This window comes from Homo sapiens, chromosome 5, assembly GCF_000001405.40.
Source record: "Homo sapiens chromosome 5, GRCh38.p14 Primary Assembly".
NCBI lineage: Eukaryota > Metazoa > Chordata > Mammalia > Primates > Hominidae > Homo > Homo sapiens.
Genome location: NC_000005.10, coordinates 113,749,739 through 113,774,004, shown reverse-complemented (window position 1 = coordinate 113,774,004; position 24,266 = coordinate 113,749,739). Strand labels below are relative to the sequence as shown.

The 24,266-nt window shown below is 41.1% G+C and overlaps 1 long non-coding RNA gene across 1 annotated transcript in view; it reads left to right on the top strand.

The window, feature by feature from the left end:
• The window catches only part of LOC105379127 (uncharacterized), a 37,837-nt gene that overhangs the window by 3,304 nt on the left and 10,267 nt on the right, over positions 1–24,266 (top strand). Inside the window, exon 4 of the long non-coding RNA XR_948680.3 lies at positions 1,776–1,909. This is a non-coding gene — a long non-coding RNA (uncharacterized LOC105379127). The remainder of the gene's footprint in view (positions 1–1,775; positions 1,910–24,266) is intronic.

Below are 24,266 nucleotides of genomic sequence, written 5' to 3'. Positions count from 1 at the left end.
CAAGGGAACAGCAAGGCCAACAGAGAAGACAAAGCTGCAGCCTTCAGAGTGCAATCCCAACAGATCCTAGCAGTGCTCCCTTTCTATGGTTCCCCAATAGAACCTGAGTACAGGAAGAACAGCTAATAAAGGAACCAAGGGGATAAAACCAAGGATCCTGGTGGTATATGGAGTCGAAAATACATCTCCCTCAGACAGTCCAGTGGAAAGTTAGAAAAGCCCTGCATGTCTCTTTCCATGTGGGGAGGGATGCAACTCTGGCCATGTAAATAAGCTCCTTACCAGGTCTAACCTAGCTTCAGTGGCTAAGCAGGTCTGCCAAGCCTGCTCACTATGTGCACTTAACCCAGGAAACAAAATACCTCCTCTAATACAACCAGTGCAGAGGAGAGGAACTTATCTAGGGGAAGACTGGCAATTAGACTTTACACATATGCCAGCTTACAGAGGACATAAGTTTTTGTTAGTGCTAATAGATACCTTTACTGGTTGGGTCAAAGCTTATCCTCCCAGAATGGAGAAGTCTAATGAGGTTATAAAGTTTCTCTTAAAATAAATAATCCCTTGTTCTCACTCATAGGTGGGAATTGAACAATGATAACACATGGACACAGGAAGGGGAACATCACACACCAGGGACTGTGGTGGGGTGGGGGGAGGGGGGTGGGATAGCTTTAGGAGATATACCTAATGCTAAATGACAAGTTAATGGGTGCAGCACACCAACATGGCACATGTATACATATGTAACAAACCTGCACGTAGTGCACATGCATCCTAAAACTTAAAGTATAATAATAATTAAAAAAAAAAAAAAGAAACAATCCCCCGGTTTGGGTTACCTCAGAGTCTCCAAAGTGATAATGGCCCATCCTTTATCTCCCAGATAACTCAACAGGTTGCTAAGGCTCTTGGAATAAAATACTATTTGAATTCAGCATGGAGGCCTCAATCCTCCGAGATAGTAGAAACGGCTAACAAGCTCTAAAATTAGCATTAGCTAAACTATGTCAGGAAACATCAGAAACTTGGGTCAGCTTACTGCCCATAGCCCTCTTAAGGATCCGTAATACCCCTAGAGCAAAAATTAATATAAGCACTTTCAAAATGTTATATGGAAGGCCATTCTTAACTACTGATTTAATTACTGACCCAGGAACAGCAGGTTTAGTAAAATACCTAGTCAACCTAGGACAATTTCAACAGGCTTTACAAAAGTTTGGAATTCAAAGGATCCCCACACTGGGAACTAACCAGCAACCCAAAATCAGGCCAGGAGATAAGTTACTTGTTAAAAGGTGGAAGGAGGGATCACCTGCTCAACAATTACAACCCAAATGGAAGGGACCATTTTCAGTAACACTGGCCATATCTTCCATGGTCAAAGTAGTAGGATTAGATAGTTGGATACATCTGTCAAGGATCAAGCCAGGGATACCAGAAGCCCCAGATCAGGAACCTGAAGTTCCCATCAGCCACTACACCTGTGAACCTGTGGAAGACCTGAAGTACCTGTTTAGAAGACAGCCAAAAGATAAGTAAATGCCTACCAACTTTCTTTGGTGTCTTTGTTGCATAGTTACTGTAGGCTGGATAATAGTAGCCATTTTTTATTTTTGCAGTTTAATTGCCTTCTTCCAAATGGATGGAATCATTTCCTTTATAGTAATTAAGCAGAATTTTTTATTTCTATAACAAACATTCCTGACAGCATAGGCATCCACTCCCAAAATTCCCATTAAATCTTTTAACCGAATTCATTTCCTTTTGCCTAGAGACCATCAAGCTTCAGATAATCAAGCAACAAGGTTTCCAGCCAGCTCCAGGTGAAGGCACCACCCCACCGCCATCAAGAAGCACCCTGTCTCCACTAGACAGAGTGGGCTGAGAGTTCCGGGATCTCCAACAGGTAGGGACTATGCCCCAAGTCAGCATGAAGCAGTTAAAGAAGAAAGACCTTCAGTCCCTCTGTATCCCATAAAGATTTATGGGGATCATGTCTCTCAAGGGAATGATGAGGCAGGATAATATGGTCTGGAGGCAGGGAACCTAAGGTATTTCACGCTGACTTCCTAGAACTGAACTGAAAGGAAAATACTAACTTTCCAGGCTTAAGTAACAAAAGGACCAGAGGCTACTCCCTTTGACCTTTTCTGCACTGCAGATGGGAAACTGGCTGTCTGCAACCAATCAGACTGATTGTGGGCCGAGTCTTCATTTGCATAGAAGTATAACCCTGTAACTTCACCCTAGCCTCTGCTTGGTTGGTTTTTGCAACCAATCAGATGTTTGCACAAGAGTGTGACCTTTGTAACTTCACTTCAGCCTCTGGTTGTCTGCTTTCTGCAACCAATCAGACTGATTGCAGGCTACCACTTCATTTACATGAGGTGAGCATGAAGTGGTCAATGGGAAACTTTTGGGGGTTTCCAAAAGGCCCTTGAGCCACTGCTTGGGCCTGCTCCCACACTGTGGAGTGTACTTTTGTTTTCAATAAATCCCTGCTTTAGTTCTTTCGTTGCTTCATTCTTTCTTTGCTTTGCTGAGCGTTTTGTCCAATTCTTTGTTCAAAATGCCAAGAACCTGGACAACTTGCAGTCCTGACCCTCTACCAGTGACACTTACATGCTTCTAAATAAGCTTTTTACAAATTATTCAAATGAAACAAGCATAGATTTGTTGGTAAATTTTAAAAATTGATAAATAAAAAGGGGCTTTTTGTTCACATGAACAGGATGATTTGCATGAAATGTGATTTATCTTGCTTAGTCAGAGAAATCACATAGTTTTATTTTTATTTTAAAACATACTTGGATCTTTTTCTGTACCTCACAATTTAAAAACAAAACTTGCTAAGTCATCATTGAAAATATTCCCTTCTTTCTGACTTTTAAGAAAAGTTACTCAGGAGGACAAATATTTAAAAATATTTAAAATGCATGATATATGTGAAGATAAATGTGAGAGGAGACGGGAGAAGAGAAGGATAATAAAAATATGTGCCACTTTGGCATTTTTAAATTAATGGGCAATCAATTTGACTACCTATTTAGGAATTTATTCATTATCCAAAATGGCTGAGGCTGCCCAGGCTTTTGTCAAATTGTCAGTAGCAACCACTGCAAATACCTCAGAATTGTTAATAGAATAGGGCTTGCTCGACACTCAGGACAGTGCTAGGGCTAGGGCTCCTGGGGGTTAAAAGACAATTGAACTAGATGAAGCCTGACTCCTGCCTATGTGTTTATGATCATTTTATGGGGGCAGGACTTGGCAATCTAAAGAGCAGCAGGAGCAAAAACTCAAGACAGTGTACAGCCAATACGGGATTGTGTGGTTCAGAATATAAGCTCATCTCATAACCTTACTTTTTTCAGGTGAACTTAAGCAGATTCTAGAATGCTTAAATACGTTTTGCTGTTACCTGAAATCAATTTGTTCCAAGTCTCTTTTATAGTCTCTTTCATTCATTTTATAAACCATGCAAGCACAAATTCAAGACAATATTTACCTTTTATCTTATGAGAAGAGTTTAACAAGTTTCTTAAGGATAACTTCCATTTATGAACTTTAGAATTATTGGTAAAGTAGTCAACTATGTACTTATAATTACAACTATGTACTTATAATTAGTTTGCTTTATAAACTTAAAAATATATAGAATGAAGTTAATTTAGAAGTGCTGCTTTTTTTCTAGGCTCATATTTTCTAGAGTACAACACTTTCACTTCTGCATTAGTTGTTGGAAGAGAGATATCTTTCTGAATCTATCTATGTATGATGCTGACAATGGATACTTTATCTCAGGTCTTATGTACCTGTATAATATTAAGAAAGTGATTTTAAAATTTATCCTCAGTGTATGGTTGAAAATAAATGTAACCACTCATTATATCGCTTTTTAAGTGATCTTTAAAACTTTTGTTTACAAAAATCTCTCACTAAATTGTGTAAAATATATTATTTCCCCTTTTTAAAAACAATTCTGCCCACTGATCAGTATTACATGTTACAAATTAACATTAACTAAGGTGATATTGGGATAATGTGTTGTGGCAGAGAGTATAATGCTCAACAAATACATTTCTTTTCCTACACTTCCCAGCCCCCTTGCATTTTTTTTTACTTCGAGACAAGGTCTCACTCTGTTGCCCAGGCTGGAGTGCAGTGGCATGATCACAGCTCACTGTGACCTCGACCTCCCTGGGCTCAGGTGATCCTCCTGCCTCAACCTCCCAAGTAGTTGGGACTATAGGCACGCACCACCATGCCTGGCTAATTTGTGTCTTTTTGTAGAGACAGGGTTTCACCATGTTGCCAAGGCTGGTCTCAAACTCCTGGGCTCAAGCCATCTGCTCATCTTGGCCTCCCAAACTGTAGGGATTACAGGTGTGAGCCACCATGCCCAGTCCCCTTGCAATTAGATGAGGTTCAGTGAGGAGTTCAAATCAATAAAACTTGGGAGTCAATGATTGTGTCTCTTCCTAGCTAAGGTAGGGAAAAGTCCACATGCAAGTTTCTAGTATCATTGGCACATATTCCACTTGCTGCAACTACAAGATGGTGGAGCCTCTATTGTCTTGAATTCCTGTATGGAACTGCAGTCTGCCAACCCATGAGGGACACGTAATATGAGTAAGAAAAAGTTATATTAAGGCACAGCAACTTTGAGATTAATTTGTTATCACAGCATAAACTTACCTACCCTCACAAATTGTCTTTTCTAAACCAATAAAACAATAAAGAGAATGCCCTATAATAAAAACTGTTGTCTAGGCTTGACTATAAAGTCATTTTCCTTTTAGTAAGAAGTAGTTTGAGAATATACCTCACCTTATATTTGATGAACATACCCTGCCTTATTTCTTGATGAAGCAGATTGACTGTTTCTTTAAGGTCATGATGGGTTTCAGGACACACAAGCACAAAATATGGCACTTTGGCATTTGAAAAAATAGCAAAACCCAGGAAAGTCACTCTATGACCTTTCCCTTCCCTCTTCCCCTAAAGCAGGTCATAAAACAGTTTTCTGACCTTCCTCTCAAGTAGGCCATAAAAACCTCATGTGAGATGTGCCTACCTATATTAGTTCATTTTCACACTGCTAATAAAGGCATACCCAAGACTGGCCAATTTATGAAAGAAAGAGATTTAATTGGACTTAAAGTTCCATGTGGCTGAGGAAGCCTCACAATCATGGCAGAAGGCAGAGGAGCAAGTCACGTCTTACATGGATGGCAGCAGGCAAAGAGAGAATGAGGAAGACACAAAAGTGGAAACCCCTGATAAAATCATCAGATCTCGAGACTTATTCACTACCAGGAAAACAGTACAGAAGAAACTGCCCCCATGATTCAATTATCTCCCACTGGGTCCTTCTCACAACACGTGGAAATTATGGGAGTACAATTCAAGATGAGATTTTGGTGAGGACACAGGGCCAAACCATATCATTCCACCCCTAGCCCCTGCCAAATCTTATGTCCTCATAGTTCAAAACCAATCGTGCCTTCCCAACAGTCCCCCAAAGTCTTAACTCATTTTAGCATTAACTCAAATGTCCACAGTCCAAAGTCTCATCTGAGACAAGTCAAGTCCCTTCTGCCTATGACCCTGTAAAATCAAAAGCAAGATAGTTTATTCCTAGATACAATGGGGGTACAGGCATTAGCTAAATACCATTCCACGTGGGAGAAATTGACCAAAACAAAGGGGCTACAGGGCCCAGGCAAGTCCAAAATCCAGCATGGCAGTCAAATCTTAAAGCTCCAAAATGATCTCCTTTGACTCCATGTCTCACATCCAGGTCACGCTGATTGAAGAGGTGGGTTCCCATGGCCTTAGGCAGCTCCGCCCCTGTGGCTTTACAGGGTACAGCCTCCTTCCCAGCTGCTTTAATGGGCTGGTGTTTAGTGTCTGTGGCTTTTCCAGGTGCACAGTGCAAGCTGTTGGTGGATCTACCATTACCATTCTGGGGTCTGGAGGATGGTGTCCCTCTTCTCACAGCTCCACTAGGCGGTGCCCCAGCAGGGACTCCATTTGGGGGCTCTGGCCCCACATTTCCCTTCTGCACTGCCCTAGCTGAGGTTCTCCATGAGAGCCCCACCCCTGGAGCAAACTTACGCCTGGGCATCCAGGCATTTCCATACATCTGAAATCTAGGCAGAGGTTCCCAAACCTCAATTCTTGACTTCTGTTCACTGGCAGGCTGAACACCACCTGGAAGCTGCCAAGGTTTGGGGCTTGCACCATCTGAAGCCACAGCCTGAGCTCTACATTGGCCCCTTTCAGCCACAGCTGGAGTGGCTCAGATGCAGGGCACCAAGCCCCTAGGCTGCACACATCTCAGGGATCCTGGGCCTGGCCCACAAAACCACGGTCAGGCCTGTGATGAGAGGGGCTGCCATGAAGACCTCTGACATGCCCTAGAGACATTTTCCCCATTTCCTTGGTGATTAACATTTGGTTCCTCATTACCTATGCAAATTTCTGCAGCTGGCTTAAATTTCTCCTCAGAAAATGGGATTTTCTTTTCCATCATGTTATCAGGCTTCAACTTTTTTAAACCTTTATGCTCTGTTTCCCTTTTAAAACCGAATGCTGTTAACAGCACCCAAGTCACCTCTTGAATGTTTTGCTCCTTAGAAATTTCTTTTGCCAGATACCCTAAATCATCTCTCTCAAGTACAAAGTTCCACAAATCTCTATGGCAGGGGCAAAAATGCTGCCAGTCTCTTTGCTAAAACATAACAAGAGTCTCCTTTGCTCCCAATAAGGTCCTCATTTCCATTTGAGACCACCTCATCCTGGACCTTATTGTTCATATTACTATGAGCATTTCTGTCAAAGGCATTCAACAAGCCTCTAGGAAGTTCAAAACTTTCCCACATTTTCCTATCTTTTTCTGAGCCCTCCAAACTGTTCCAATCTCTGCCTGTTACCCAGTTCTAAAGTCACTTCCACCTTTTCGGGTATCTTTTCAGCAACAGCACCCCACTTCTGGTACTAATTTACTGTATTAGTCCATTTTCACGCTGCTGATAAAAACATACCCAAAACTGGGCAATTTATGAAAGAAAGAGATTTAATTGGACTTACAGTTCCATGTGGCTGGGGAAGCCTCACAATCATGGCAGAAGGCAAGCAGGAGCAAGTCCTGTCTTACATGGATGGCAGCAGGCAAAGAGAATGAGGAAGATGCAAAAGCGGAAACCCCTGGTAAAACCATCAGATCTCATGAGACTTATTATCTACCATGAGAACAGTATGGGGGAACCACCCCCATGATTCAATTATCTCCTACTGGGTCCCTCTCACAATACATGGGAATTATGGGAGTACAATTCAAGATAAGACTTGGGTGGGGACACAGAGCTGAATCATATCACTACCCTATACCTGAAGGAAACTAACATGCTTACCCTCAAAGACACAGAGATGCCAAGAGGAATCTGGGCAGACAGGATTTGCTAAGATCCCCCAAGTTGTCACCATTAGGTCTTATCCTCTTTGTCCAATCATACTTCCCCACAACCTTTTTATCAAACCTAGCATAAAAATATACAAGTTTACCTGTTTTTTTTCAATTTTCATTGCTAAAGGCTCCGATGTCACGTTAAACCTGTACTAAATTTGTATGCTTTTCTCTTGTTAATCTGTCTTTTGTTATGGGGCCTCAGCCATGAATCTAGTGAAGGGTGGAGAAAACACATCTCCCTCACCATGAGGAAGCTATGGAAGACAGAGCAGTGAAACAGGACAGCCCTCTGGGGTTCCCAACAACCCTGGCAGAAGGTTGTGGGGAAGGTCTCACTTGAACTGGTTCTGACTAAGTGAGCCTTGTGCTCTCTGGACTTGGTGAATATTTAAACCACATCTTTCTCACATTCATGGAATATGTTTCAGGGGAGAAAACATAATTTCCTTTTTGGGTTCTTAGTTGAGACACTTTCCTGAAAACAAGTCATATTAACAAAAGAAAAACAGAAGTTTATTAACATGTGCTGTACCCATGATGTGGGACCGGTGTCAGTCCAAAAGTATTTCTCTCTCAAGGCAGCAGCTTAGGGGCCTTGTTTAAATAATATTTTAACAAAGATCCATAAATCCTATAGAGACAAGGACAAAGAAGGAGGTATCTTTAGGCTTCTAAAAAGCAGGAAAATGTAGGAGGATAAATTTATGGAAAGAGTAAAGTCTGCTTCTAGATGCTATGGTGCCACTGTCTCTGAGCTCTGTGCCTGAGCTGATAAAGGCAGACAGGAGGGGCAGAGTGTGCCATTCTACTTTATCCTTTTAGCTTTAACTAAAATCCCCAGGATTTTAGAGAATGCTTTTTTCCTTCACTCAACTTCAATAGACTATGAAAATTCCATCTTGAGAACTCACATCACAAGCACCTCACTCCTTCTGGTCACACCATTCTAACCTTTCCATGCCCTGTGACTTCTTTGTTAGCCTCCAATAATCAGATGTCTCCTCCCTGGGTTTGCTGCTTTGGTCCCTCTGCCCTTCTGGGCAGGCCTATAGAACATGCCAAGCCAGTTCCCTCTCCTACATGGCTCACATCTCATCCACAGTACACACTCAGACATCATTTGCCCTGACAACTCTTGAGAGCAGACTGATCCCCAGGCTGCACTGATCTGGCCCTTATTTCCACATCAGAATTTCTCAGACTGGCATCCTACTGTTGCCAAACTGAACTTGGGTCAGCCTGCTTGGCAAGGCAAAGCCAAACACTGACATTGGGACTGCAGTGAAAGAAGTGAGGCATTTATTGCAGTGTGCCAAGCAAGGAGAATCAGGCACCTAATGCCTAAGACCTGAACTTCCTGATGCCTTACAGGTCAGAGTTGTTTTTTATTTTTAAGACAGAGTCTTGCTCTGTCACCCAGGCTGGAGTGCAGTGGTGCGATCACTGCCGCAACCTCCAGGGCTCAGGTGATCCTCCAATTTCAACCTCACAAGTAGCTGGGACCACATGTGTGTGCCACCACACCTGGCTAATTTTTTTATTATTTGTATAGACAGGGACTCCCTATGTTGCCTAGGCTGATCTCTAACTCCTGGGCTCAAGTGATCCTCCCACCTTAGCCTCCCAAAGTGCTAGGATTACAGGCGTGAGCCACCCTACCTCACCAGGTAAGAGTTTTTAAAGGCAGGGAGGCAGAGGTTATAGGCAAAGTCATTAATCAATACATGGAAGTTATACATTGGATTGACCTAAATAGGCAAGAAATCTCTAAGCAGGGGCCCACAGGTCATAGGTGGATTCAAAGATTTTCTGATTTGCTATTGGTTAAGGAGGCAAAGCTTTGTCTAAAAATTTAGGATCACCAGAAGACTGTGAGCTCTGGCTCATGGGTGGAAACTTCAGGCACCTCAGGAAGAAATTTAGAACAAAGAACAGTGGCCAGAGCCCAGTTCTCAGTTCCTCATCTGAGGTCTATGCACTGGCAGATCCATATGGTGGGGGTCTGGATTTCTGAAAAGTAACTCAGAGACTTATGTTAAGCCATTATTTTTAGTTTCTATAGGGAGCCAAATATATGCTAACTCTAACTTATTTGGCTATTGTTTTAAGGTACTATTACCTTCTTGCTTATGAAGTTGGTCATTTACTTCTCAGAACTAGGTAGGTGCCCAGAATTCCCTGGAAGAAATTCAAGATTTTTATTCATTTTCATGCTTGGAGTTCCCACAAGCCCCTAAGAAGGGCCCCTGCTCCATCTCTACCCCAGTGTACAGTGGTTCTTAAATACAGTGGCCTGCACGTTACCTTTCTCTGAGTGCACCTGTGGGTACCACTCTCACAGGGCTTAATGTGAAAAAAAAAAAAAAGGCATTCACAGCAACAGGTCTCTCCAAAGAAACCTCCATGCAAACCCTCCCTCTTCTATTATCTCAACTTTGAAGTGGGTAAGGAAGTCAAGGGTCATGGAGCCATTTCTTTACATTTCCCTTGAAGAATCACTCTAAGGTAATTGGGCACCACACTAAAATTTCATGTTTATCCTACCTTGGCGTTTAGTGGGATCTTCAGTTTTCACATTGTTACATAAAAGACAGGGCAAGGCCAGCTGGGTCAGCCAGGGCTTGGTGCCTGAGGGTGAGCGATCCTACACAAATAATGCTGAAGCAGAATAAGACAAAGATGCACAACCTTTGAAAGCATCCAAGCCAAAAAGTCAGAAAACACACACACTACAGCAGGCCCTAGGGCAGGAAAGGCATCATAACCGTGGGACAGAATAAAACATCAGAATCTGAGCCAAAATTAAATTGGAATAAGAAAAAGTCAGCAATGAATGAGATTTGGGACAATTTCAGCCCACATTATTGGGGATTCCAGTGCTTAATAAGATGAAAAACAGATACAAGAATATTTTTATTTAATTAATTTCCTACAGCAAGTTGGTTCTCTGGTTAAGGAAGATACAACCAAATTCCCTGGAAATTGCAAAGAGTCCCTAGAGATTTCTGTAAGACAGACAAGATATAGATTCCCAACACTGCCCATTCCCCCAAAACAGGAAAGCAGCATTCCCAAACCCAGAAGCTGTTGGCCTTATAAGCTCAAGTTTCATGATAGTCGACCTACTTGGAAACAGTAAGTTTTCATCCTCATAACCACTCCTCTCCCATTGCCATGGCAATATTGGCTGTCTCTGCTCATCAGCCATACCAAAGTACAGCACTTGAATGCTCATTCTCAGCAATAACTGCACTAATGAGAGCTTAGTCCACGGTGTTTTATTAACAATTTTCTAACAGTGTTTGGGAAATAGAAATTGTCTGCTGCTCCCACACCCAGCCTGCAACTGCATGTCCAGTGGGCCTGACTGAACTCTGTACCACTAGACAGATGTTAGCAAGGAAAATAAGGTTGTATAAAATATCTTTTGGTACCAATGGCCACTATGGTTTTACTGTATTTAATGCAAGTCAAAGCTGGTGACTTCTACCTACCTATCCACCTATCTTCCTATCTACCTTTCTTCCTATTTACCTACCTACCTATATTAGTTTGCTAAGCTGCCATTACAAATCACAAACTGGGTGGCTTAGAACAACAGAAATTTGTTTTCTCACAATTCTGGAGACTAGAAGCCTGAAACCCAGTGTTAGCAGCGTTGGTTCCCTCTAAGGGGCATGTTATAATTTGAATATGTCAGGTGTTGAAACTTAATGGCCAATATAATAGCAGTAAGAAGTGCAGCCTTTAAGAGGTGATTAGGTTATGAGGGCTCCTCCCTCATGAATGGGATTAAGACACTTAGAAAAGAGGTGTCAAGTGGTGTTCTGCCCTTTGGACCTACCTTCCTCTATTTGAGGACACAGTGTTCCTCCTCTCAGGAGGATACAGCAAGATGGCACCACCTTGCAAACAGAGACCATGCACCTCACCAGACAGTTTGCTGGCACCTGGATCTTGGGCTTCCCAGCCTCCAGAACTATGAGAAATAAATTTCTGTTCATTATAAATTACCCAGTCTACAGCATTTTGTTATAGCTGTACAGATGAGCTAAGATAGGCTATGAAAGAGAATTTGTTCCTTACCTCTCTCCAGGCTTCTGGTGCTTTGCTGGCAATATTTGTTGTTCTTTGGTTTGTGGATGCATCAGCTCAATCACTGACTTCACCTTCATATAGCATTCTTGCTGTGAGTGAAATGGTAAATGGCAGCTGAAACTTCAGTGAGACGAGGAAATGGAGGATGAGAGGGCAATGACAGAGACTTTCATTCTAACAGCTATGAAGAGATCAGAGATGAGCCTGGGTCCTGAGCCAGGCAAGGGAGGGGAACAGACTCTACACATAGTTGGGATTCCCCAAAGGAACCCACTCTTGGGAAAAGAGTGGATTAGGAAAAACACTCTCCCACCATCTAAACAACAGGACAAACATATTTGTTGAAGTAACAGATAGAACTTTGGGAACTGAATACCACAATGCGTGGGTAAAGCAGCAGATTAGAAATCTGAAGAGAAAATGAGACAAGCAGAAGATAGATTTGAGAAAAATGATCAAGGATGAAGCGGGAACAGACAGAGAGATGCAAGCCATGAAAGTGACATTAAGCAGAATAGAGGACAAAATGAGGTGCTCCAATGCATGCCTGATAAGAGAAGGGGAAGGAGAGAATGGAGGAAATGAAAGAGGCAATACTGAAAGAGATCATAGCTGTGACATTTTCACAATTGGTGAAAGACAAAACCTTGGTTTTAGAAATTGCAATGGGTTTCAAGCAGAATTGACACAGCCAAAACTGAACCCTCAGGGTGAAACTGCAAAGAAACCAAAGACAAAAAGTGAAAAGGCTAGAATAAAGCTATCAATTAGTTATGAAGTGACACTAATCAGACTGATAGCAGACAATACTAACAGCAGAAGAAAATAACTCAATAACATCTTTGAAGTGCTAAGGGAAAAGAACTGCCATTAGAAAATTTTAAATGTGGCCAAACTATCATTAAAGAATAGGGTAATATAAAGACATTTTCAGACAAAACTGAAGGAGAAAATTTCTCAATGTTCTTTCTTACTGACAATATATAGAACTATATTGCAGCTTAGTGAAATCAATACAATTTTATGCTCTAAACCTGTAGCTTAAAAAAAAAAACAAAAAAAGTTTCTATAATTCTCTCCATTTATGCACAGCATCACTATTTATTAGAAGCCAATAAGGTACCACCGAATACTTTTTGACGATAGAGATGATGATTCCTACACGGAACAGCGTCTCTGGTGGAAATCATCTCTGTGCTACATTGTGTGGAACAGACAGGACCCTAAGTGCAGAATCAGGAAACCTGAATTCAAGCTCTAACTCTACCACTAATTACCTCTGCAACTTTGAATGATTTATTCTGGTTCCTTGTATATTAAAATAGGTGGGTGATTGGTTGATTTTTACAACTCCAATCTCCATCACTCTTCAACTCACCCTGTACCCTCCTGACAATGGTGAATTGGGATCCACCCAGGGTCCACACACAAAATTATTTCACAGAATTCAGTCCAGAGAGCTTGAATAGTCTCACCTTTCAAGGCGAAAATCTCAAACCTAAAATCTATGCTCAAGAAATGTAGATTGGTAGGCCAAAAACGGTTTAGATCAACTTTTCATTAAAAAAAAAAATCTTAAAAGTTCAATACTCCAATTCAATTCTCTCCCACCCTCTATTCCACACGCACCAAAGAGTCACAGTTTTTTGGGTTTTGCCATGTATTTCAGCCTATGGGACTAACCAAGACTCTTATCAGTCTGGAATTTCTATCATTCTAACACCACCCCCACAGCTTTAGCTCCTCCTCCTAAATACCTTAGCACTTTCTTTGTGGTTTAAGTTACTGCTCTCCTACTTCCAACAGAGGGTGAAAAAATGATTGCTCATCTTGCTTTCAATGACCACAAGAAATATTAAATTCTTCTGGCCCAAAAGAACATTTCCCACAAGCATCATTTTAAATCTTAATTACAGGTTTATGTATTATTCAGGCAATGTTAGAAACTCAGCTTTGGAATAGCATTATACCATTAGTCTTCATTTGCTCTCTTTGGTCTTTCCCCCAACTTCCAAATAATGGCCATTCTAATTCTCTTGCTTCTTTAATTATATTTTAGTTAGAATCATCTTTTTCTTAGAGCACGAGACTTTCTCTTGCAAAATGCCTATGACTTCAAAAAAGGATTTGATTCTCCTCTGGTCCCCTTGCTGACAAGGTTTAGGGATGCAAGCAGGCTATTATCTATCACCAAAAAATCCAGCAGAAGGGATAGAAAAGGATCACTAGGTTAATATAAAGATAATTCTCTTCTTCTTGTAATGTATACACACACAGGTGCACACACACAGGAATGCACTTGTCCAAAGATTAAAATAAAGCCAGATAATTCTTCACCAGTTGTTCAGTGATGCTATTGGCATTATCAAAAACCTAAGATCTGAATTAGAGTAGCTAATACTTTTCAAGTGCTCTCTGTGTACAGGTTACCTGACTGCATACCCATATCCTCTAGTTCTTCTCTATGTACTGCTTCACTGATTCCCTGCTATGTTTCTAAAGTGCTCTGGGACCTCCATCCTCCACGTGCTATCAGATCTTTGTAGATAAGGTCCTTTTCATCTTTCTATATATGGAAAAGTGTAATGAATAAATTTCCCATCCCCTGCCCCCTCTTAGAAAGAGCCATAAAATTAAAAGAAATCAATTTGAAATTGATACTACTCCTCACAGGACACAAAAAGGTCAACCTAATACCATGATTTCTGTTTTGTTTTGCTTTCTTTAGTTTAGTTTTGTTTTCAGTGATGCTCAGTCTTCAGCAAAACAGAAAAGAGTCAGATACTCCTTCACACAATTATGATTATCTATTGTTCCTAAGGGCTAGGCCAGGAACATGATAACAAAAGAAATACTTTTTTCTTTTGTAGGTTTTGTTTGTTTGTTTTTGTTTTTTTGAGATGGAGTCTCACCCTGTCGCCCAGGCTGGAGTGCAGTGGCGAGATCTTGGCTCACTGCAACCTCTGCCTCCCGGATTCAAGCGATTCCCCTGCCTCAGCCTCCTGAGTAGCTGGGACTACAGGCATGTACCACCACGCGCAGCTAATTTTTGTATTTTTAGCAGAGATGGGGTTTCACCATGTTGGCCAGGATGATCTCGATCTCTTGACGTCCTGAACCGCCCGCCTTGGCCTCCCAAAGTGCTGGGATTACAAGCGTGAGCCACCATGCCTGGCCTGTAGTTTGTTTTTAAAGATAAAACTTGTTTGCTATAAACTATATATTCTTAACTGCACAGCTAAATTTTTACTTCTGTATGTAACCTATGTAACTACCACACAGACCAAGATACAGAACATTTTCATCACTCCAGAAAGTTCCCTCATGCCTCCTCACTCACTCACCTCAATGATAATCACTACTCTGACTTTTATCATCTTTGACGATATTTGCCTGTCTTTCACTTTATGTATGTGGAATCACATAGTATATACACTTTTGTGTCTGGTTTCTCTTTTCCAACAGAATGCTTTTGAGATTTATCCATACTATTGTAAATATCAGTTCTTTCTTTTTTTATTGCTGAGTAGTGTTCCATTTTATGAATACACTACAATTTGCTTTTGTAGTCCTCTGTTGTTGGATATTTGTAGCATTTCTAGTTTTTGGCTATTATGACTAAAGCTGCAAAGAACGGTCTTTCATGTGCCTTTTGGTTGATATATGAACTCATTTCTCTTGGATATACACCTAAAAGTAGAACTGAGAACTGCTGGGTCATAAGATAGAAGAAGACAGAAGTTCATTTAGATTTAATAAATACCAGTAAACAGTTTTTCTAAGTGGCTGAACCACTTTGTCTGGAAAGTGTTTATACTTCTATCTGCAATGTATGTGAGCTCCAGCTGCTCTACAATCTCACCTACACTTCATGTTGAATCTTTTCATTTTAGCCAATCTACTCTGTTTATACTTTTCCCTCATTGTGGGTTTAATTTGGGTTATATGATTTATAGGTGTTTAATTTTTACGTAACTATATATACTGGATATGACTCCTTTGTCAAGTATATGTATTACAAATATGTTCCCCCAATCTGTGGCTTGCTCACTGAACTCGCTTCCTTAACTATGTCTTTTGATGAACAGAAGTTCTTAATTTTAAGAAAGCCCAATTTATCTTTTTCCTTTTTCTTTTATGGCTTAATGTTTTTTGTGTCTTGTTTAAGAAATCTTGCCTACTCCATGATCATTTTCCTTTGTTACATTCTAGAAGCTTTATTGTTCTGCCTTTCACATTCAGGTCTATGATCCACTTTGAATTAATTTTTATGTGTGGTATAAGGTCAAGTTCAAGATTCATTTCTTTTTTCCCTGAATAGATACCAATTTCTCCAGCACCATTTATTTAATAATGATCTTTTTCCACTGAATGACAATGGCACCTTTATTGCAAATCAAGAAACCATATATGTGCACATCTATTTGTGGACTTTATCTGCTCCATTGGTTTATTTGTCCATCCTTACACCAAAATAGTATTTCCATGAGGTGGGATTAGCTTGTGTGTCTCTGATGAGTACAAATATTCATCTTTGCACAAATGCCCACTTCCCTTCTGAACCTCACTGACTTTCACTGTGCAGAATATTCACTGTTATCTCTTACCTCCAAACGCTCTCTTCCTTACTCAGCTTGGTGATACAGAGGTTTAGACTCTGCAAACATTTCTCCTTTGCCAGTGGTTCCCTGTTAGGTTCTGCCAATAGGGTTCACTAGAGGGAGACTGTGACGCTGGAGCAGGGACAAAGGACTTTCTTCTTCCTGTGTGTTCATTGCTCCTATCAGCATGGCCCCAGCAATGGTTTTGTGAAACAACAGTGGCAGCTGGGTTTAGCTGTAGCACCACTATAGCTTCAGCTTTGTTTCCACACTCCCAGAGATGCACTTCCTCAGAGACATGACCACCAACCAGGCAGCAGTTCTGCAGGGCCCCAAACACCAACCTTAAGGGTTCTATTAACCCCACCCTCTCTTCCTTTTCATCCCTGGCCCTGGCGTGGCAGCTGTTCATAGCACTTCCTATCACTGTGCTAGCTCAGTTATCCCTGGTTGCTTTTCAATCCTCCAATACCAATTCCCCATATTTCTTTTTTTCTGTTAGGCTATTTGGTGTCATGCTGTTTTTCTAAGTGGACTCTGACTCATTCACTCACTAACAGAAGAGATGACATAGAATTGTGTACAATTGGAGAGCATGATCACTCTCCCTCCTGGAACAAGAGCCTATAACCCTCTGGATTCTGCACAACTCTTCAGAGATGAACAATCATGCTCATCCTATGTTCCTTCTTTTAAACACAATGCCAGAAAACATCAAGGCATTGTCAACAAAGAGTCAAACTCTGTAAAATATTTGAAGAGATTTATTCTAAGCCAAATATGAGTGACCGTGACCTGAGGCACAGTCTCAAGAGGTCCAAAGAATATGTGCCCAAAGTGGTCAGCCTGGTTTTATATGTTTTAGGAAGACATAAGACATCAATCAATAGATGTAAGGCATACATTGGTTTGGTCTGGAAAGGCAGGACAACTTGAGAAGCAGGAGCTTCCTGGTCATAGGTGAATTCAAAGATTTTCTGATTAGCAATTGGCTGAAGAGTTAAGCTAATATCTAAAGACCTAGAATCAAGAGAAGGCAGTGTGGGTTAAGATAAGAGGTTCTAGAGACCAAGGTTCTTATCATGCAGATGAAGCCTCCAGGTAGCAGGCTTCAGAGAGAATAGATTGTAAATGTTCCTTATCAGACTTAAAAAGGTGCCAAGCTCTTAGTCAGTTCTCTCCTGGATCAGGGAAAAGACCTAGAAAGGGAAAGGGATTCTCTACACAATGTAGATTTTTCCCCACAAGAGACAGCTTTGCAGGACCATTTCAAAATATGTCAAAGAAATGTATTTTGGGGTAAAATACTTTTATTTCTTTCAGGGCCTGCTATATGTCATGCTGGTATCTTATTGCTACAAATAGTCTGTTTTGTCAGTCTTAAGGTCTCTGTTTTAATGCTAATGCTGGTCAGCGGTGCCTGAATTCCAAAGTGAGGAAGGTATAATAAGACATATCCAACCATGCATTCCCATAATGGCCTGACCTAGTTTTTTTCAGGTTAACTTTGGAATGCCCTTGGCTGAGAGAAGGGGTCCATTCAGTTTATCAGGGGGCTTAGAATGTGATTTTTGTTTTACAACATAAAAGCTTCTTTGGAAAAGGATAGAGTTTCCTGAGGGATAGAGAAGTTGCTAAGCTGAGAAATAAGTGTGTTTCAGGGAGGTGGGGACACTTGCAAGAGAAGCTAGTCATCATGAAGGAAACATGCAAGGGAACACGAAGCATATGAAAGCCCAATGCCTGAAAACATTCTCCCTTGTGCAATAAAAGGAACATCTAAACTCATTAACTTTCAACCATTGTCCCTCCTACCATGCAATACCCTTTTGGGAATCTCTAACCTTTCAGAAAAGTACTTCATAAATATAGACTTTGCTCTGTGTATAATGGTAGAACTGGGGGAGAGATGGGTCTACTCTGCCCCATTTTCCTTCCTTTGAAAAACCTTATGAGCAACCACTTAATAGTAAATATTCTCTTGTCATGGTAGTACATCCTTTGCCAGAAAAGTTGGCTACAGCACTTGCCCTCAGCCTGAACTCTGAAAACTCTATCCTCAATCTAAACAAAGGGAAAGATATGCCTGATTGGGTGTTTTTTATAAGCATGACAGCCTGACCCCACTCTTCCCAGGAGTGAAACACACTCAAGTACACATCTGTCCGACGCCCTGCCTGTAAAGTCATCCTCACTTAGCAATCATAGGGAACTTTCCACACACACCAAAGGGAGGTCTACCTATGAAACGGGACCTACCCACTACCCTAAATCCACTACCACAGAGTCCATACAAAGGATAGGTATTTGGGGTGAACATACCCGCATTGGTTCCCTATTGTAATCAGCAAATCTTTCCTTCACAAAAATAAATGTAAAACTAAGAATAAACAGTCATTTGAAGAATTTTAACCTGGGAAAGATACAACCAACTGAACAAAACTACTGAAGAGGCCAGACACAGTGTGGCTCATGCCTGTAATCCCAACACTTTGGGAGGCTGAGGCGGGAGGATCACTTGATGTCAGGAGTTCAAGACCAGCCTGGCCAACATGGTGAAACTTCACCTCTACTGAAAATACAAAAATTAGCCAGGCATGGTGGCACATGCTTGTAATCCCGTCTACTCAGGAGGCTGAGGCAGAAGAATTGCTAGAACTCAGGAGGCAGAGGCTGCAGTGAGCCGAGATCATGCCACTGCCCTCCAGCCTGGGGACAGAGACTCCATCTCAAAAAAAAAAAAAAAAAACCACAAACAAACAAAAAAAACTACCAAAGAAGAATTTTACAAGAGGGCTTAAAAGAGGAACTAAATAAACAGAGATAAATTATGTTAACAAAAGGAAGATTTAATATTGCAACCTTTTAATTTTCTCTTCAGTAATATAATAAGACCAGTAAAATCAGAAAAAAACCCAAAATTTTTCATGGAACACAAAAAATGGATACTAAAATTCTTAGAAGAGTAATGTGCAAGCATACCCTTATCAATTTTGGAAAAGACCAAACGATAACTTTCCTGCCAAATATAAAAATGTAACATAAAGATTTTATAATTAAAACAGTATGGTATTTGTCAGAAATGGGTGAATAAACAAATGGAAAAGAGAGCGTATGTGGGAATTTAGTACACGATAAGGTAACATTTTGAATGGAAAGGACAAACTTACATAAAACTATGGGACCATGGGATAACCACTTGAGAAAAAGCTAAGCTGATTTTACATAGCCATTTGTAGCATAAATTCCGTAGGGATTAGAGATTTAAATGTAAAGAATAAAAACATAAAAGTCTAGGATAAAATGACCAAATATTTTAATCCTCTCAGGTTATGAGTGTGGCAGAGAAATAATTAAGCAATGACGTGAATTTGACCACATAAAAATTAAAATTATGTAAAAACAAATTCTATAAATAAAAATAATAGACAAAAAACCTGAAGATTCATCAGTAGGTGATTCATTCATTCAATAACTATAGTATATTTATAAAGTTCTGTGCAGCTGTTTTTAAAAGAATGATGTAGTTCTACATCAGTGGTTTTCAACTGGGGGCAATTTTGCCCCTCCTTCCTGGAGCCATAGAGCAATAACTGGAGATGCTTTGGGGTGTCACAACTGAGGAGAGAATGTGCTACTGGCATCTAGTGAGTAGAGGCAAGGAATGCTGATAAACACCCTACAATACAGGACAGCCCCCACAACAAAGATTGTTGGGTCCAATGTCAATAGCTCCAAGTTTAAAAAAACTTGCTCTCCATAAGCTAACAAAGAAAGATGTCCCTGACATACAAAGTAGTGGGAAAAACACAAATTGCAGGTCGGGCACAGTGGCTCATGCCTGTAATCCCAGCACTTTGGGAGGCCGAGGTGGGCGGATCACGAGGTCAGGAGATCGAGACCATCCTGGCTAACATGGTGAAACCCCATCTCTAATAAAAATACAAAAAATTAGCCGGGTGTGGTGGCAGGCGCCTGTAGTCCCAGCTACTCGGGAGGCTGAGGCAGGAGAATGGCGTGAACCTGGGAGGCGGAGCTTGCAGTGAGCCGAGATCACGCCACTGCACTCCAGCCTGGGCAACAAAGTGAGGAAAAAAAAAAAAAAAAAAAAAAAAAGGACCAAATTGCAGAACAATATGTATATTATTGAGAGGTGACAGCATGCTGGCAGCCCTCAGAGCCCTCGCTTGCTCTCGGCACCTCCCCTGCCTGGGCTCCCACTTTGGTGGTATTTGAAGAGCCCTTCAGCCCCCCACTGCACTGTGGGAGCCCCTTTCTGGGCTGGCCAAGGCTGGAGCCCACTCCCTCAGCTTGCAGGGAGGTGTAGAGGGAGAGGCACCAGCGGGAACGGGGGCCGCGCACGGCACTTGCGGGCCAGCTGGAGTTCCGGGTGGGCGTGGGCTTGGTGGGCCCGCACTTGGAGCAGCCAGCCAGCGCTGCTGGCCCCGGGCAATGAGGGACTTAGCACCCTGGCCAGTGGCTGCGGAGGGTGTACTGAGTCCCCCAGCAGTGCTGGCACAGCGGTGCTGTGCTCGATTTCTCGCTGGGCCTTAGCTGCCTTCCTGCGGGGCAGGGCGGGGGACCTGCAGCCCGCCATGCCTGAGCCTCCCACCCACTCCATGGGCTCCTGTGCGGCCCGAGCCTCCCCGACGAGCACCACCCCCTGCTCCAAGGCGCCCAGTCCTATCGACCACCCAAGGGCTGAGGAATGTGAGCGCACGGCACAGGACTGGCAGGCAGCTCCACCTGCAGCCCCGGTGCAGGATCCACTAGGTGAAGGCAGCTGGGCTCCTGAGTCTGGTGGGGACGTGGAGAGTCTTTATATCTAGCTCAGAGATTGTAAATACACCAATCAGCACCCTGTGTTTAGCTCAAGGTTTGTGAGTGCACCAATCGACACTCTGTATCTAGCTGCTCTGGTGGGGCCTTGGAGAACCTGTGTGTGGAAACGCTGTATCTAACTAATCTGATGGGAAGGTGGAGAACCTTTGTATCTAGCTCAGGGATTGTAAACACACCAATCAGCGCCCTGACAAAACAGGCCACTGGGCTCTACCAATCAGCAGGATGCGGGTGGGGCCAGATAAGAGAATAAAAGCAGGCTGCCCCAGCCAGCATTGGCAACCCGCTCAGGTCCCCTTCCACACTGTGGAAGGTTTGTTCTTTCACTCTTTGCAATAAATCTTGCTACTGCTCACTCTTTGGGTCCACGCTGCTTTTATGAGCTGTAACACTCACAGCGAAGATCTGCAGCTTCACTCCTGAGCCCAGCGAGACCACGAGCCCACCAGGAGGAAAGAACAACTCCAGACGCGCTGCCTTAAGAGCTGTAACACTCACCGCGAAGGTCTGCAGCTTCACTCCTGAGCCAGCGAGACCACGAACCCACCAGAAGGAAGAAACTCCGAACACATCCGAACATCAGAAGGGACAGACTCCAGACGCACCAACTTAAGAGCTGTAACACTCACCGCGAGGGTCCACGGCTTCATTCTTGAAGTCAGTGAGACCAAGAACCCACCAATTCCGGACACATTATGATCTTAATATAAGTAAATATTCCATAATATCAGCAGTAACGATGATTGATGCATTGAGTATTAAACTCAAAAGAAAATCTAATAGAATATTTAAAACAACTGGTAAAAGAAATACACTCCATGTCTAGGCCTGACCTACTCTATGACTCTAACGTTGTTCTCTCTTGCCTGTCTCTCAGTCAGATGCGGAGGGTAAATTTGAAAATTTTCCCTGAATTGAAGAATTTTCTAGGAAAACAGAAGTTATCAAAATTGCCTCAAGAAGATATATCAATAACAATACAGAAAAGTTAAAAAGATGTCCTAAAATTATCTCCACAAATAACATCAATTGAGTCCATTTTATAGAATAAGCTCTCTACTCTTTCAGAGTAGTTAATGCTCTTGCCATCTAAGTTATTCCAGATCATGCAAAAAGTGAAAAACTCCTCAATGAATCACACAAAAGTAGTGAATTCCTGATACAAAATCTGACAAAATAGTATGAAAAAAGTATGCTTATGTCAGTCTCTCCTATAAATATGTATTCAATAATTTTAAAAAAAGTTAGCATAATTATGAGTTAATAATTCAAAATATTTATGAAGTCCAAATAAAAATATACCAAGTCAAATCCAGGACAATGCTTTTTAAAAATGGCCAAATCAGTTTTATTTCAAGAATGTAAGAGTGATTTAATATGAGAAGATATATTAACATAATTCAGTACATACTGGAACTTTAAAAAGAAAATCTTTAAGTGCTTCTAAATAGGTACACAAAAAGCACTTGATAAATCTTAGCATTCAGTCTTCATTTTTTTAAATTTAAAACCTCTTAGTAAACTAGACCAGGAAGGATATTTCAAGCACCTAGAAGAATGCTATAAGGTTGGAAAGATTCAAGAAATAGTTATCAAATGACTGCATAAACAGTAATTCTTTCATTTGATAAGGAGTATTTACCTTAAACCAAAAGCAGTATTTTTTCACTTAATAGTTTAACTTCAAAAGCATTTTCTTATCAGAGATTAGAAAAAATTGCTCACTCTACAGTTACTTACCTCTGAAATAAGATAACAACAAAAAACGGAAGGCACAAATACCTATTTAAAAAGAGAGGACAAATGATTATTATTGAGTGGTCTGGTGGTCTCCCTGGAGATTCCTTATCCTTTGATCATCTCCTCTATCTTCCTTGTCTCAGTGCCTGTTCCCCCACCCCACCACAACCACCAAATACCCACACAAAGATAAGCCATCACAGGACAGAAAGAAAATCATTCAAGCCCATCAATATGTAAAAGCCAAATCTTTAACATCATTTCCATGTGTTGTCTCTTATCCTTGGCTTTCTATCAGTGTCCCCAAAGTGGCCGCGGTTCCTCTGGGATGGCAGACTGTCTTCCTATCTCACTTCAGTCACTTCTCTTTGGTATTAAACAATCTGACACTCGGATTATTTCTGCTGTTTTAAATTAAAGATTCAAAAAGCGTGGTATTCAGTCAGCCCATAGTAGGTGAGGGTCTTCCTTACAGACTGCAAACTGATTGAAAAATGCAAGTTCTTTATCTTTAAAGAAGATTCATCTACAATTCCAGATACTTTCAGTTTTATACCACAAACTCTAACAAAGAACAAACACTTTTAAAAATCCATGGTCCATGACTTTTTATGCCACTTTCATTATTTTGTTCTTTGCCAGTTTTCTATTATTGATGCGTCCATTTTCCACTGGAAGGTTGTAACAGTGGTGTACAGTTTTAAAAAAGTTTGAAAACTGATACTTTAAGCAATGTATGTCTTTCATATCCCATAATAACCAAGGATATAACCTGAAGCACTAGGCAATTGAGGTGAACATTTTAAAAAACAGGATAGTATTGAATATATTAAAAAGGTTTAAGGGTTGATAATAGAGCAAGTGAATTCAGACTATACTAATCTATTCTTTTCAAGATTTTAATGTATTTTGTTATTAGTCTCTTTAATAATATTTTATTAGCTTTCTAAACATTTCAAATACACTGTACAAAAAAGCAAAAATATTTGGAAGCCTAATAACCGTTTTGAAGCACGAATCTATCTTAAATGTGGCTTTCTTTTGAAAAACAATAAAGCTGACCAATGCCATCAGGAATTCAATTAGATTATTTCACAGGTAATGGTTTCTTATTTTAGTGGTGCAATCATCCTTAAAATGGAGTCCTCTCGGAGTTTACTGAGCCATTTTTAATTGTTTTCTCTTAAAGTCAAACTGAAGGCTGTTACAAGAAGGACTGATATATCTCTCTAGACATGTTTAAGTGGTTTAGACCAATACGTCACACCTGCAGCTAAAAGACTTTTTTCAGTCTGAAATCACCTTTGCAAAAATTGTGGCAGGGAGAGAAATACAACATAAAAAATTATGATGGTGAAAGAAATCTGCCCTAACTGAATCCATCTTACTTCTAACCTCCAAGCTATCCCTGTTCATTTCTGTGCATAGGCCAAGTTAACTATGAAAGGAGTTTAGTTTAACTTTAAAACAAAGATGATAACAGCCACTTCCTGAAACTATCTCCTTGC